The 16894-nt window shown below is 36.1% G+C and overlaps 1 pseudogene; it reads right to left on the reverse strand.

Moving 5' to 3' along the window:
- Window positions 1-14952: 14952 nt before the first annotated feature.
- On the reverse strand, window positions 14953-15952 carry PPP1R2P5 (protein phosphatase 1 regulatory inhibitor subunit 2 pseudogene 5; annotated as a pseudogene).

Here is a 16894-nt window from a genome sequence, read left to right on the forward strand (position 1 = left end):
ACTATCTTTTTCTCCTTGCATGAGTTTTGGTATATTGTGTCTTTCAAGGAATTGGTCCATTTCATGTCAGTTATCAAATTTATAAGCATGGAGCCATTCAAAATATTTACTTTTTTCATTGTCTACGGGATCAATAGAGATCCCTATTTTATTGTTGATATTAATAATTCATATCTTTGCTCTTTTTTCATGGTTGGCATGGTTAGAAATTTATTAGTTTTATTGATCTTTTTGAAGGATTGGCTTTTGGTTTCATTGACTTATTTTCCAATTGTTTTCAATGCCAATTATTTCTGCTTTAATTTTAATCTTTTTCTCTTGCATTTTTTGATTTAATTTTATATGTTTTTCTATTTCCATATATATATTAAATCTCCCTAATATATGCATTTAATGCTGTTTCTCTCTAAAATAACTGCTTTTTGTGCATCTCACATATTTTGATAAGTAATATTTTTATTTAATTTAGTTTAGAATATTTTTAAAATTTCTCTAGAGAATTCTTTGACCCATGTGTTAGTTAGAAGTGGTTTGTTTAACTTCCAAATATTTTGGGATTTTTTTTTTTTTTACCTATTTCATTGATTTCTAGTTTAATCCCATTGTATTCTTACAGCACACTTTTTATGATTTCTATTCTTTTAAATGTGTTGTGTGTTATAAGATGCCCTCTATCTTGGTGAATGTTCCATGTGAGCTTGAGAAGAATAAGCATTCTGATGTTGATGAAGTATTCTACAAATGTCAAATAAACACCACAGATTGATAGTGTTGTTCAGTTCAACTATATTGGGGGAAACTGCCCCCATTATTTCAACGTAGGTTATTTCTATTTTCCATAAGTGTCGGCCAACTGAGAAATAAAGAGAGACAGTACAAAGAGAGGAATTTTACAGCTGGGCCACCAGGGGTGACATCACATGTTGGTAAGACCATGATGCCTGCCTGAGTCTCAGACCAGCAAGTTTTCATTAAGGGTTTCAAAAGGGGAGGGGGTGTAAGAACAGGGAGTAGGTACAAAGATCACATGCTTCAACGGGCAAAAAGCAGAACCACTAATAAGGGTCTAACAAAGATCACATGCTCCTGAGGGAACAGAACAAAGGGCAAAAGCAGAACCACTGATAAGGGTCTATGTTCAGTGGCACGTATTGTCTTGATAAACATCTTAAACAACAGAAAACAGGGTTTGAGAGCAGAGAACTGGTCTGATCACAAATTTACCAGGTTGGGGTTTCCCAACCCCAGTAAGCCTGAGGCTTCTGCAGGAGACCAGGGCTTATTTCAGTCCTTATCTCAACTGCACAAGACAGACATTCCCAGAGTGGCCGTTTATAGACCTCCCCCCAGGAATGCATTCCTTTCCCAGGGTATTAATATTAATATTCCTTGCTAGGAAAAGAATTAAGCAATATCTTTCCTACTTGCATGTCGCAAGAAGAAAAATATGGCTCTTTTTGCCCAACCCCACAGGAAATCAGACCTTATGGTTGTCTTCCCTTGTTCCATAAAAATTGCTATTATTCTGTCCTTTTTCAAGGTGCACTGATTTCATATTGTTCAAACATACATGTTTTACAATCAATTTGCACAGTTAACACAATTATTACAGTGGTCCTGAGGTGACATACATCCTCAGCTTACGAAGATAACAGAATTAAGAGATTAAAGTAAAGACAGGCATAATAAATTATAAAAGTATTATTTGGGAACTGATAACTGTCCATATTAATATGAAATCTTCACAATTTATGTTCCTCTGCTGCAGCTCCAGCCGGTCCCTCTGTTCGGGGTCCCTGCCTTCCCATAACACAACTACATGGTTACTGATTGTTTGCCTGCTGGATTTGTCAATTAATGATAGAGGTATCCTAAATTTTTAACTACAATAGTAGTGTGTCTATTTTTCCTATAGTTCTATCATTTTTGGTCTCACTTATGTAACACTCTTATTGGGTACATATACAGTAAGAATTGTAATGTCTTTAGAGAATTGACTACTTTGTCAATATATAATTCTCTTTTTTATCTCTGATAATTTTTCTTGCTTTGATGGCTGCTTTGTCTGAAATTAATATAAATATCCTAGCTTTGTTTTGATTAGCATTCACATAGTACATCTTCTTTATCTTTTTTCACTTTATCTGTATCTTTATATTTAAAGTGGATTTTTTTGTAGAAACATATAGTTTTTTTAATCTACTCTAACAGACTGTATTTTAATTGGTATATTTAGATTATTCACATTTAAAGTGATCATAGATATAGTTGGATTAATATCTACCATATTATAACTGTTTTTTCTTTGGTGCACTTATATTTTATTTCTTTCCTTTTGGTCTTCCACTGTTTTTCTGCCTTCTCTGGCTTTAAATGAGCATTTATATGGCTCTATTTTATCTTTTCTCTTAGCATATCAAATATACTTCTTTAAAGAAATTAGTGTTTGTTTTAGTGTTGGCATATACAACTAATATATACAATATACAACTAATTTACATCCACTTTCAAGTAACACTATACCACTTCATGGTCACTGTAAGTACCTTATAACAGAGTATTCTTAATTTTTCCTTCCTATTTCTTATGACATTTCTATCACTCATTTAAATTATCTATAGGCTATTACCACCAGTCTTAGATCAGCTAAGGCTAAGAAAAATAGGTTTTATTTTAACTTTTTATTTCTCAGTGATCTTTTATGTAGATCTGAGTTTCTAACCTGTATCATTTTCTTTCTCTCTGAACATTTTAACATTTTTTTGCATAATAGGTCTACTGGCAACAAATTCTTTCAATTTTTGTTTCCCTAAGAAAGTCTTTATTTCCCCTTCACATTGACAAAAATTTTGGGAACTATTGAAAAGTTTGCTGGATATAGAATTCTAGATTAGTGGGTTTTTATCTTCCAATGCTTTAAATATTTTACTCCACTCTCTTATTACTTGCATTGTTTCTGAAAATAAGACTGATGTAATTCTTAATTCTGGTCCTTTATAGGTGAAGTGTTTTGATTTCCCCTTTCTGCTTTCTGGCTTCTTTCTAGCTTTTTATTTGTCTTCAATTTTCTGCAGCTTCAATATGAGATGTCCTGATGTAAATGTTTGTGTGTGTTTATTTTGCTTGGGGTTCTCTGAACTTCCTGTGTATCTGTGGTACAATGTCTGTTTTTAATTTTGGAAAATGCTCAGACATTGTTACTTCAAATACTTCTGTTTTTTTCTGTCTTTATTATCTTTCTGATACTATTATTATGCATATATTATTCCTTTTGTAATTGTCCCAACCTTCTTAATTTTTTTCTGTTTATTTCATTTTTTCTCTTTATTTTTCTATTTGAGAAATTTATATTGACATATCTTTAAGATCACTGGCACTTTCTTTGGCAGTATCTACTCACTGATGAGCCTAATAAAAAGAATTTTCAGTTTCTATTATAGTGTTTCGATTTCCTTTTGATTCTTTCTTAGAGTTCTCATCTTTCTGCTTATATTACCTATCCATTCTTGCATGTTCTCCACTTTTTCCATTATATCCCTTAGCATATCAATCATTGGAACTTTAATTTCCCAGTCTGATAACTCCAAAATCTCTGCTCTATTGGAGTCTGCTGTGATGCTTTCTCTATCTCTTCAGACTGTGTTTTTTCCCTGTGAGCATGATTTATAATTTTTGTTGAATGTCAGACATGTTATATTCAGTAAAGGAACTCAAGTAAATAGATCTTGAGTGTGAGGTTTCATGTTTATCTGACTAGGTGTAAGGCTGTGTTTACTGGGTTTCCCCAGACACTCCTTCTTAAATAGGGTTTTAGAGAGGCTTTCAGTTCTTTTAGCTATAGTCTTGTTATTATAAATGAGCCCTTTATAGGTAGTGTAAAGTGTTTGGTGAAGAGGAGATGTTCTGTAGTCTTCTGACAAGGTCTCAGGTTTTTCACGAGACTGTGCCCCTGAGCTGTTACCTTCATGAATGCTGTTCAGCTCCCTCCCCACTTTACTTCCCTTTTATTAGAGCTTTGTGAATCCCAAATCACTTAGGCTTTGGTAAAATAGTTTTCCTTGAGGGCAAACATCATAAGGAGGTCAAAATTTTGAGCATATTTCGAAATGGTTACTTTTCCTCTCCCCCTGACAGAAGCAAGAGGGGAGATTTTGTTTGTTTGTTTGTTTGTTTTACCAATCTTTATTCTGAGAACCTGATGAGTTTCCTGAAACTAAAACTGATAAATATGTAGGGTCTCACCATTGATCTCTAAAGCTCACAATCCAATGGGTGGGATAGAGATGGAAAGAAATAATTGCAATATAGTGAGCTAAACAAACACTTCGTAAAAGGAGGGTATGATTTGAATCTGTCTTAGGAATAGTGAGTCTTATATCTGAGTAAAAACAGGGTGGGTGAGATGGAAATTTGGGAGAGGGATGAAGGCCTCTCCCTCCATCCAGGCCATGGTATGGTATAAGCCCATGCAAAATAGTAAAATACTTCATAGTAAAATATTGCTTGCATGTTAAACATGTTTTTCCAACTGTGACATCATTAGAAGGCTGATATTTAAAACAAGAAAAAGCATATTCTTATTCTCTGTCAGACCCTTATTTGCCTCTAGCCCAATGTTACCATGACAGTTAACTTCCCATGTAGCACTCAAGTGGCAGGTCAAGTGCTATGTCCTATATGAGGTGCTTTCCTGATGCTGCACCCCATTTAATTAAAACAACCATTTTTAAGACATTGTAATTGCTGGTTTACACATGGACAAGGGTCCATGTTTTGCTCAATGGACCCTTACCTCCTCTCTGGCAAGGAGCTTGCTTTTTCATCTCAGCATCTCTGATACCTAACCAAGACCTTACCATGATACTTACTCAAAAATGAACACATAGCGTGGTGCTTACTGCCACGTGTGATGCAGGACTTCAGTCTCACAGCGTAAGTCCAGTCTATCTTGTTTAGTGGCTGTGTGACTTTAGGCAAGTTAATTAACCTTTCTGACTTTCAGTTTTCTAAATAGAAACAAAAAATAAAATACAGAAATTTAATACACATGAAGCACTTAGTGCAGTGTTTATTTGCACAATGAACTTTCCATAAGGGATAGCTATTTCTAATTATTATTTGGTGAATAAGCAAAGGGTGATCTCCTGGCAGAATACTTTAGATGGAGGCCGTCACAGATTTCCAGGGACATATACAATGTGTTATGCTTTCTAGCACACTGTAAGAATATCTGCTTTGGCTACATGCAGTGGCTCACACCTGTAATCCCAGCACTTTGGGAGGCTGAGGTGGGTGGATCACCTGAGATCAAGAGTTCAAGACCAGCCTGGCCAACATGGTGAAACCCCGTCTCTACTAAAAATACAAAAATTAGTCAGGCATTGTGGCGGGCACCTCTAGTCCCAGCTATTTGGGAGGCTGAGGCAGGAGAATGGCTTGAACCCAGGAGGCAGAGGTTGCAGTGAGCCTAGATCATGCCACTGCACTCCAGCCTAGGTGACAGAGCTAGACTCCATCTCAAACAAAACAAAACAAAACAAAAAACAAAACAAAAAACAAGAGCACCTGTTTCACACAGATTCCTGTTTCCCTAAGGTAGGTTGATTCAGGTAGGTTAACCTCGCTGGGTCTCAAGTCCCTCATCTTTTAAATGGGGGTCATTTAATTGGTTGCCATGAGGACTAAATGAATAAATATCAATATTAAGTGCTTCGAACAGTCACTCTCTAAGTCATAGCTACTATTATTAGTAGTATTATTAGCAGTAATAGTAGCAGTACAAACTATACCCTGCAGTTGTTTTCAGGCTTACTTAAATGGGTAAATGTATGTGAAATATTTGGCCCCATGCAGGCATAGAGAGATCTCATTAGATGTTAACTGTTAGCCTCTCTTTGGTGGTGCACCCATTCTATTTCTTAAAAGCAGCACCTTGGGAGGAGGCTCTCTGCCTCCCATCTTCTCTGCTAGGGGATACATCAGCCCCAAGAACATCCTCTCCCTCACTCTCCCACTCCTCTCTAAGTGATTTCATTCTGTACATGAGACACTGTGATTTTTATGTGAGAAGCACAAAGCATCTTTCATAGAATTTTAGCTTCAAAGACAACATCAAAAGGTTGTGTTTGATGTTTCCGAAGGCAGCATTTCACTTCATGACTATTCAACGACAGGTGATTTGACTGATTTTTCTTTGTCAGTGTTCACCCAGATGTTTGGCACAGCTTGACAAGGAGAGTGTCTGAGCGCTGCTCTTCTGTCGTTGTCAAGAGCCATTTGGGAATATACTTGAAATCCAACAACAAAGATACACTCCTCCTCAGCTTTTCTGTTCACTATATGGTCATATCAGTATCCTTGAATGACAAACACACTCCAGCATTCATCCTGATGGTAACTTACATCATGTGAGTCATGAGTTCAAGGAAAGTCTAATCTGCGGCATTCTAATCTGAACTCCAAACAGCCCTGGAGATTATTATCCAGTAATGTTATTTCCTTACTTCCCTTCTCTATATTCTAGGTATTATAGGAGGCTATAAAAGAAGATAAAAATGAGATAACTAAAAAAAATAAAATGAAGAAACAAAAATAAAAAATAACTAGAATGAGGTAATAAAGTTGAAACTTTAAATGTGTTCACAAAGTGGTGGTTAAAAAAAATACAAAACACCAACCCAAATAGACAAGTGGGTGTTTTTTTGTTATTGTTGTTGCCTCTTGTGCTCAAAGTTGTCTGTCTCTATTTGGTACAATGAGGCAAAATCACAGTTAAAGAGTAAATGCAAATATCACAATTTCTGACTTCATTTAGCCTCACTGCATTTACCAAAGCTGTGTATAACATCTTGCCTATTCAAAATATAACATATGGACCATGTGGGTGAGAGTGCTAAAAGAGCCTTCATTTGTGCAGTCTTTGACTGGGGAGGCTTCAAAACAACCTGAATGTTAAGTTGCTATTTTAAAAAAAGAGATAAAATTTTGACTTTTAAAAACCATTGAAAAGAAAGGAAAAGATACCATAGGTGAAGAGTTTCCTAATGTCTGCAGGGAAGGTTAATGGAGACCTCTGGGAGAGCAGGAGTATTCTGAGGTGCCCCTGCCACAAGAGGGCTCCCTGGGGGCGGGGGTGGGTACAGAGTCAGTGAGAAGTCTCCAGAGCAGGAGGGTGCAGGCTTGGAAGCGTTTGAATTCTAACAAAGAATGTGTTTGAACTATTGAGGTGTGTATATATGCTTTCGTGTGTGTGTGTGTGTGTGTGTATGTGTGTGTGTGTTTGCAAGAAAACCCCTCCTGATTAGCATCATTTTGTTTGCAACAAAACCCCTCTTTACTAGCATCTCAAAAAGAAAAGTTCCAGTAGTACAACTGGGAATCTAGCATTTGCTTCTGCATTGCTTCTATAAAGTTGCATTCTTCAAAAAGGAACTCCTTTTCAGTTTAGGTCAAAATAGATTGGAGAACAAACTAACTTTCAGAGATATTTTAGTGAATTTTGGGCCAGTTATATAACAGTTGTATTTGTGTGTCTGTGTGTGTGTGTGTTTGCAAGAAAAATCCTCATGCTTCTTTGTAGTAGAATCTGTATCAAGGAAGACCATGGATAGGAAAGGAAAAATTTTAGAAATCTACCAGAAGTGGAGTACATGGCAAGTTGTATGAATGTTATATTTTAAAAGTTCAATCTCTCACTAGTGAGAATTTGCAAAGTAGGACTTTTAAACACCTTTCAAATGTGTTTAAATAAAAATAGTCTGATTCATTATAGAAAACTGTATTTTTTATTTTAGAAATAGCTAGAACTATTTTAATATGAAATCTTCTTTATTTAAATATGTGCAACTTGTTGCATTTTGTATAGATAATGAATAGAATTTCAATGTAGTTGTTAAATTAATTCCTGAGAGTTTCATTTCATCATATACGTTTTCCTTCCAATCTTTGGGTGACAAATTTCAAGGTCTAAAAGAAAATTAAATATCACATTTTCAGTCGAAGCTATGTTTATTTGATCAATGTAGGTCATTGTTTTAATATACACACGTTCCACGACACCAGCTCTCCCCTCTCCTGCTGAGGGATCTGCAGTCTGCAAAGCACACGACTCATGCAGTTGGGTAGTCCTGGGCTTGAAGCTGTCTTTTTCTTGCACAAATCTCGTGACTTCAAACAATACACTCACTAAGCTATTTTGCCACTTGTTTATGTCTAAAATAAAAATGATAATTCCTACTTTGTAGTGTTCTTTGGGGATTGAATAAATGATGTATATTAAAAGTTTGGTTCATAGTAAGTTGTCCTTCAATAAACAGTGTTATTATGGAGAAAAATGGTAAATTCCATTCCTCCTAGAGCAGGGGTTATTTAGCCAAGGTCCATCTGTATTTCCACGAAGCGCAAGCTGAAATTTAACATTTCCCTCCATTTTGAATATAGGCAGCAAATTGCATCACATTTGGGAACAGTTTGGGGGCCCCAATTATGGCTTTGTGAAGTATTGCTTATATTTGGATTTACAGAGTATATACAATTCCTATCTCTCTTTGAACTATGGATATTCCATGTTCATGGGTAGGCATATTGTAGGCCTCAGGCCAAATCCAGTCCTCTATCTGTTTTTGTAAAGAAAGTACTATTAACACAGCCATCCCTATGTGTTTACTATTGTCTAGAGCTGCTTTGGCTGACAAGGGTAAAGTTGAGTAGTTGCTACAAAGACCCTATGTCCTGTAAGCCTAAAATTTACCATCTGTTCTTTTCAGGTAAAGTTTTCTAACCCCTGAAATGCAAAATGCACCAGTTGCTACCTAGGTCAGATCACTGCTGCTTCATATACAATTCTTTTTCTGGTAGGAGTCGACAGCAAACAGGACATTGAATATCAAGGGCCTATCATGAACCAGCTACTCTGTTAGGTACAGGAAATGCAAAATGAACAACAATGACAAAGCAGTTATTGCCCTAAGGGCTTTCTAGTTGGTAGTGGACATAATAACAAAACAAACAACTGCAATATACAACCGTGATGTAGGTAATCATAGTTGTATCATAAGTACATGTGACAGTGGTTCCTTCTGAAGTCAAACTTTATGACTGACTTAATTAAACTGTGTTGTTACTAAGCAAGTAGTTCGGGAAATGTACCTTCTATGTTTTTGTCCTCAGAGAATTAACATTTGCTTGAGGGAGCTGAAATTATTAACTCATGAAACACCAGCAAGACCCATGGGCCATTATTCACTCATTCATGCATCATATGCAACATGGAGTATAGGTCATGTGAGACCATGGTCTATAAGGGCAGTATAGATGGTAGGCAGAGCACTGAAAAGATCTGGAACAACCTCATGGAAGAGGATTGGGACCAGAGTCAACCCTCATATATCTTGGTTTCTGTATGTCACTATGGAGTTACTACTTTACTGGTCTCAATCAAATTTTTTATTGATGGCCTGATTTTGGAGGAAACAGAAGTAACACTGTATACAGTAATATCGACTTTACAAGTAATTTCTTAAGAATAGGTTTCTTTATGGCTATATGATTTATTTACTTTGTTATAATCATTTTCACAGGGAACATCTCCTGACCTTGACTTTAATCTTAAGAGACACTGAGTAACTTATTACATCCTCATCAAAGAACAAAATTTATTGTTTAAATCTCTGCTCTCCTCATGCAGATCATTTATGATTTTATGGATATTTGTCATCTTACCTTTTTTCTTGTGGAAATAAACGAAGACCACTAACAGAAAATAAACAGAGGTGATTTAGTCAAAGCTATCTGTTCCAGGGAGTTAGTTACTATTACTTATTTTTTGCAGAAATGCAAAGTCAAGTACAAGTATAAAAGCTTTATAAGGTGATAAAAGAGAAGGCTTAAAGTATTGAAGTTTGTTGGCCTGTTGAAGACTGTTGACCTGGGGAAGCTGGAGACAACCTAATCAGAAATGAGGCATCCCTCGTGATTGATTTGGGAGCATATGTGGCTTTCTTTTTTTGGCCCTTTGTTAGAAGTAAGAGCAAAAAGTAGGGGAGCTGCCAGTCATTGACCAAGTCCTGGCCAACATGAGTTGATTGTGGCAGACTTTGTGATTTGGTTTCCCAGACTATTAGCTACAGATTGTAGGTCAGAGTCCTAATGTTATATACAGTCTGGCTGTTGTCCCTTTGTTTATTTGAGTCTCTGACTTTCCAATCTGAGTAGTTTCAAGTGTTTAGCCCATCCCATCTCCATAACCTTTTCAGTTGCTCTTATTCTGATGATCTTCAGTTTTATTTTTTCTTGAACTGCAGGGGGAAGAGCTGGCCATCTATTACAGAAACAGATTTTGTCTACGTTTATACATAGCGCAGATAATCAAAATTTTTGTTTTGTTTGTTTTTTCTATATGAAGGTGATGTTTAACCTGTCCTACTGAAACACCATGTTTTGATGGATGTGTTGGCTTTTTAATTTAATTTAGTTTAAGTTTAGTTTTCCATTATAACATATCGAGTCTGTAGTGGCTCCCTCTGTTAGTCAGTGCTCTCTAGAGGGACAGGACTAATAGGATAGATGTATACATGAAAGGGAGTTTATCAAGGAGCATTGACTCACACGATCACAAGGTGCAGCCCCACAATAGGCCATCTGCAAGCTGAGGAGCAAGGAAGCCAGTCCAATTCCAAACACCTAAAAAGTAGGGAAGCTGACAGTGCAGCCTTTAGTCTGTGGCTGAAGGCCCAACAGCCCTTGGCAAACCACTGGTGTAGGTCCAAGAGTCCAAAAGCTGAAGAACTAGGAGTCTGCTGTTCAAGGGCAGGAAGCATCTAGCATAGGAGAAAGATGGAGGACAGAAAAGTTAGACAGTCTAATCCTTCTACGTTCCTCTGCCTGCTTTTATCTTAGCCATGCTGGCAGCTGATTAGATGGTGCCTACCCAGATTGAGGGTGGGTCTGCCTCTCCTAGTCCATTGACTCAAATGTTAATCTCTTTTGGCAACACCCTCTCAGACACACCCAGGAAAAATACTTTGCATCTTTCAATCGAATCAAGTTGACACTCAATATTAACCCTCATACTCCTCATTTTTATTTTGGATTGAATAGGTAGCTAAAAACCTGTAGTCTAAGTAGAGGTGATTTTTTTCTTTCTACACTTATAACTGGCAGAATAATCCTGGTCCAGGCCTAGTGCTTCCTCAAGGGAGATGTCCCTGCTCCTGACCCTTTTGTCTCCAGTCCATTGTGTGCCTAGGGAAGACATTATTCCTCAGGTTCTGACTGATTGAGGTGGGCATCTCATCCAAGTATGGGGGGTCTACATGCTTTGTAAGTGGTTTATGCCAAGACCTGCTGGACTAATCTGAATCTCTCTCTTGGAAATTTAAGCTGAAAAATATGAAGAGATAGAAGAAGCTGGAACTTGGCTCTGAAACTAATAGGATGCTTCAAGAAAGACCATGAGGTAGAATATGAGTCTAAGGAAGGTGAACTTAGAAGAAAACAAAAATTATGGCTAATCAGAAGCCGTGATGTAGGGTGAATGTTTGGATAGAAATAGAAGAAGTCAGAAGGGAGGAAACAGTATAATTAAACTAAAGAAGCAGAAGCACAGAGGAACTGAGACACATAAGGAGCAGAGGAAAACTCAGATTTTTGATGACTTACAATGTTCTAGGGTCTTACCATCTTATATATGTTATACTATATAAATACATTTATTATCTGACTCCTCTGTAAGAATGCAAGAAAGCTGCAGGCAATACCATGAGCCTGAAAAGAAAAAAAACAGAATTTGGGCCCACCAAGGTAGCCAAGATAGGTTTTCACAGAATCAACATTCAACTTCGGTAATTTTCTTCATCATTTGTTTGTTTCCTTTTGCATTGATTTCTACTCTTCTCAGCTTTCTCTTATAGACAGCAAAGATTTGGCTCTGCCTTTTGTATTCAGTCTGAAAACCTCTGCCTTTTAATTCGAATGTTTACATAAGTTACATAAACAGTAATGATTGAGAATTATGTTAATTAGTATATATTGAATTAAGAAATAAGGTTTATAATTTTATGATTCTATAAAAGTTATTTGCATTGATTTGGAACTTTACTATTAACAGATCTCAGTGGCTGGTACAGGCTAAAAGTTTTTATTCTGTAATTTACAGATCATTGTTAAAAATATAGATATGTTGGAATCCAATAATATGCCTTACTAAGCCCAATATTTAACCTTTTTCATTGACAAAATGTGATTTTAATAACTTTCTTGTCTTTGAGTAATAAGGCAATATATAGACTACCTATGGGATATACATATTAAGTAGCCTTTCCCAAAACTTTCCTTTTGATGAATTAGTTTTTTTCTAAGAATAGATTTTTTTAGATTGAATATTGAGAATGAAAGGTGTAATTATAAGAGGACTAGACAGAAAGCACTAATGATAACCCAAAGCATGTGATTCTACATATTAACACAATAATTTCTGAAGCTAAAAAATTAAATTCTATGTTGAGTAAAGTTGAGTATGAAAGTACAAATCAGACCATGAATATTGGCAAAATATAACACAACCATGTTTTAGAAGAAACTCAAATTATGTGTGTCTTTGTGTGTTTGTCTGCACACAAAGCTGTAAAATCTGCATTATCTCACCTAAAATATTTTTTAAATTTATTTATTTTCATATTATTGTATTTTATTACAATATGTGTAGTGTATACTAACTTAAGGGGATATATGTAAACAAAATTAAAGTCATGGGGAAAATGGCATCTTGCTTCAATCTTCAACTTAAAGTTACTCTTAACAATCAATTTATACCATTATGTCAAATTTTAGTCATCACTGCAGAATTTTAGACAACTGAAAAGAGACAAAGTAACACCAAAGAATTAAGCACATAAAGTGATATTGATTAAAAAGTTGAAAGTAAAATCTACCTTGACTAGAACTGAACATTCAGATCTATCTCTCCAGAGGAAAATCTAACTTGAATCATAACGGTTCATATTTTGACTAGTTCATACCATGTCAATTAGCCACTTATAACTTGAAAATACCTTTCCTCAGATGCATTTGACTATCTAAAATCCTACTGAGCATGCTGTTTGGCATGTCTTATTCCTCTGAAATGAAATGAGATGAAAGTCATCTACTTTCTAAAAACCAGAAAATCAGTTTGCTTGTGATTTAAATTTCAAAAAATAGTTTGAGGAAAACACAAAAAGAATCAACTGTTTAAAGTCTTATCTTTTCTTCATTGCACAACAAGCTACTTCTACCAAAAACAAGGAGTATGTGGATGCTTTCTAAGAACTCAAAAATGGGAAAACCAATATCGGAAGTCTGGGTGCATGAATACATGTGCCCACATATGTACAGACTTAATCTCCATATCTGCCAAAACAGATTTTAACAGGTAATCCCAACATTCTAAATTCAGAAAGCAGAGATAAACAGTTTTGTTTCTAAATCAGTGGTATTACTAGATGAAATGTTTAGTAGAATACTGCACATATAGTTCAGCAGTACTTTGATTATATCCCATTTAAAAAATCAAAATAATAAGCATATTCTTCTAACAGCAATGAATTCTCCCGCTTTTTATTTATTTTGACATACTGATATTTCTGTAAACTTGCAAGTGGAAGATAAGCTGTTCAATAAAAGCCTTCTTATATATAGAGTATACAGAAATTATTTTAAAAGTCTGTTTATGTAACAGATTATTTTGGTACTAACAAAAATTAAGATACAAAGAATTGGCTAGAGAGGAAACCATCACTAAACCAAGACACACAGGGCTTTCCTGCACTTCATTTCAGGAAAAAAATTTCCAAGTAATTCTTACTGTGTTAGAAGAATAAAGTACGTTTGTCATAGTATACATTATTGTATTCCCTTAAAGCGGGGACTATTTAAAATTTTTAAATTAAACAATGTCCAGGCTTACTTCTGTCTGTACATTCATGAATAATCGTATCACTGGTTACACACAATTCTCTCCTCATGCAAAAAAAACCCCTCCAAAAAAACAACAACCAAAAAAACCTCAGTTCGTTGTTTTCTTAAGTCTAAGTAAGCCAAACAAACTAATAATAGCAATTTAATTAGCAAGCTGTAAATCAGGGAGGTATAGAAATTCAGCAGTTAAATTATTTCCTGTCTATAGTACTGCTGCTACTCAATTTATTTTCTTCATGTATTAGAAGAATTAATAGGCATTGATGGTCAAAATAAGAATTTCAATATCGCAGCAAATGACAGAAGAGTGAGAGAAAGAGTTCCTAATGTTGTGACAATCTTAATGATCCTTTAAAAGGTAAAGGACTGTGTGCGTATGTGTGGAAAGGAGTAGAAAATAAAAGAAGAAGGTTAAGACAGATATTTAAAGGGAATGCCGAGATAGCTCCATTAGAATATTTATTTCAAAAAAACTGCTCTGAAGTCTGCCCAGTGTACCAAAAACATAAAAAACAAAAAGCAAAACAAAGCAAAATAAAAAACAGAGCCGACATTAGTGCAAGTTTAATCTGATAATTTATTTGTGGGGAAAAAGCTAGTTTTGATGAGATAAACTTCAGTCCTTTCCTTGTAAATACAAAGAAACTCAACAGGAATTTTAAAGGTAGTAGGCCAGAAAATGCAACAGTAACTCTTATAATCCTTTTCAATTAAACAGACAAATCAAGTTGTAGACAACTGTTAAAATATTATTCAGCCTTAATATTTATCAGTCTATATATCCTGTTGTTCAATTGGCTTTTGATTAAAAAAAACCCAACACAGTTTATAAGAGATACCACCACATTTAGAGTGATGAAAATAAATTACTTCCTCTCCCCCTTAAAGATACTGTTTAACTTCTAAAGCATAAAAAGCTATATACTATCTTATACATATTAACAAGTGTTTTACATAAGTAACGCAGTTTTGGAATGATGATATTACACTGTATTTGTGGTAAAGTACTAGACACAAGAATATATATATCAATTAGGCATTTTCAGTCTAATCAGTCTCTAAGGTTATCATTTAATTCTTGGAAATTTATAATAACTGGTATGCATTTTGGTACTTAAGTCATGAATTGTGGAAAACCAGAAGCAATGTATTATAGTAACAGGGTTTATATCCAACAGTTGCAGTGTTGAACAAATCTATGAACTTCGTGATTTGTTTAGCCATTGGTCACTTGCAGTAGATCCTTAATTTGATTCTTTAGTATTCGTGCTTTCTCCATCTGTAGTCTATAACATTTCTTCACCTTTGTCATCATCATGTAGGTCTTTTGAAACTAATTGTCTAGCTAGTTCGATATTGAGTCCTTCACTGTAGTGAAGCTTCCTTTTCATTTCAAATTGTCTGTTTTTTTCTCATTCTTCAGCTAAGAGGTCCTCCTCTCCACTGCTTTCTTGTTCCTGAACCCAATATTTTGGCTCTAAGCCTTCAGCAGCAGCTAATTTCTTAGCTAAGATATCTGATACCATGGTTTCAGTGGTTTCTGTATCACTACATGCATTTTCATCATCACCCGTTATACCATGGTAAGGAGGGCTTGGCTCATCTATTTTCATTAAACCATAGTCTTTGTCTGCTGGATGATATGTTGACAGGATGTTCATTTCATCACACTTCTGGCATTTTTTACTCAGCTCCTCGTGGACAGTTCTGCAGGGCTGTTCCGACAACGCCACCATAGAGGAAGTCCTGGAGGTCTTGTTCTTCAGGATCCCCTTGATGGGCTGGTGCGAGGCTGCCATTGCCCAGCACTTGGGCTGTGGGCTCAAGGTCCGTGAAGAGAAGGGTCGGGCGCTAGCAGAGACCTGCAAGCAGCGGCAGAGCCTGCTCAGGGCTAAAGCGGCCGCACCTGCACCTGCTGTCTCAGAAACGGCTACCAGAGAGGTTGTCGGGACACAACGACCCTGACGCCAGAGCCAACGCTGAACTGGTAGCAGCTCCTTATGTGCCCTTAGCCGCTGGCACTTGACCCTTAGCAGCCTGCAGTTGACCCACTGCTGACGGTGAGACACTGGCCAAAAGATTCTAAAGGGTATATCAGAAAGGATGAGTTAAGTTGTGCTGCAGTAATAAGCAGCCCCAAATCAGCAACTTGCCACACAGTTTCTTTTGTCTGTTTTTTTTAGTTACACTGTATTTCTCTCACGGCCAGCAGGAGGTTTGTTGCAGCTACTTAGGTATTCAGGCTGCAGAGACTCTGACTTTACATGGCTTTTATGATCTAGGTGCTGGAGAAGATGTTGCAGTTTGTTTGTTTGCTCTTAGAGTTTCTGCCCAAAAGTGATACTTACTATTTCAACTCATGTTTCACCATGAAAGCAAGTTACATGTCCATGCGTAATTTCAAAGGGAAGGGAAAGTAGATCCTACCATGTGCTTAGAAAGAGAAGAAGAAGCTGAAATTTTCTTTAATTTAATTTAGTTTTTTATTTTTAAATTTTTTATTTTGTAGAGATGGGGTTTTGCCATGTTGCCCAGGATGGTCCCAACCTCCAGAGCGCAAGTGATCTGCCTGCTTTGGTCTCTGAAAGTGCTGGGATTACAGGTGTGAGCTACCATACCTGACCTCTGAATTTTTCTAAACATCACTATTGACTACCGTAAAGGGTAGTTTTTACTTTGGCTATGAATGAAGATCCACAAACAGGGCAGAATGCTTAAGCATAGAAATCCGTGGCAACTTGGTGTTCCCTTTCTGTTGATATACCTCTTTTCTTCAGGAAAAAAAAGACCCTGGGAAAGTGCATGATGACATCTAAGGTTGTTCTACTTATGCCTTTAGAGTATTAATTTTTTTAAATGGCTCCCTGATTACATATTGAGTTAAAATTCTTTTTCTTTGAATGAGAAAGAAAAAGTGTTGGAAGAAGGCAGGAAAAGAGGC

This window comes from Homo sapiens, chromosome 2 (assembly GCF_000001405.40).
Source record: "Homo sapiens chromosome 2, GRCh38.p14 Primary Assembly".
Lineage (NCBI taxonomy): Eukaryota > Metazoa > Chordata > Mammalia > Primates > Hominidae > Homo > Homo sapiens.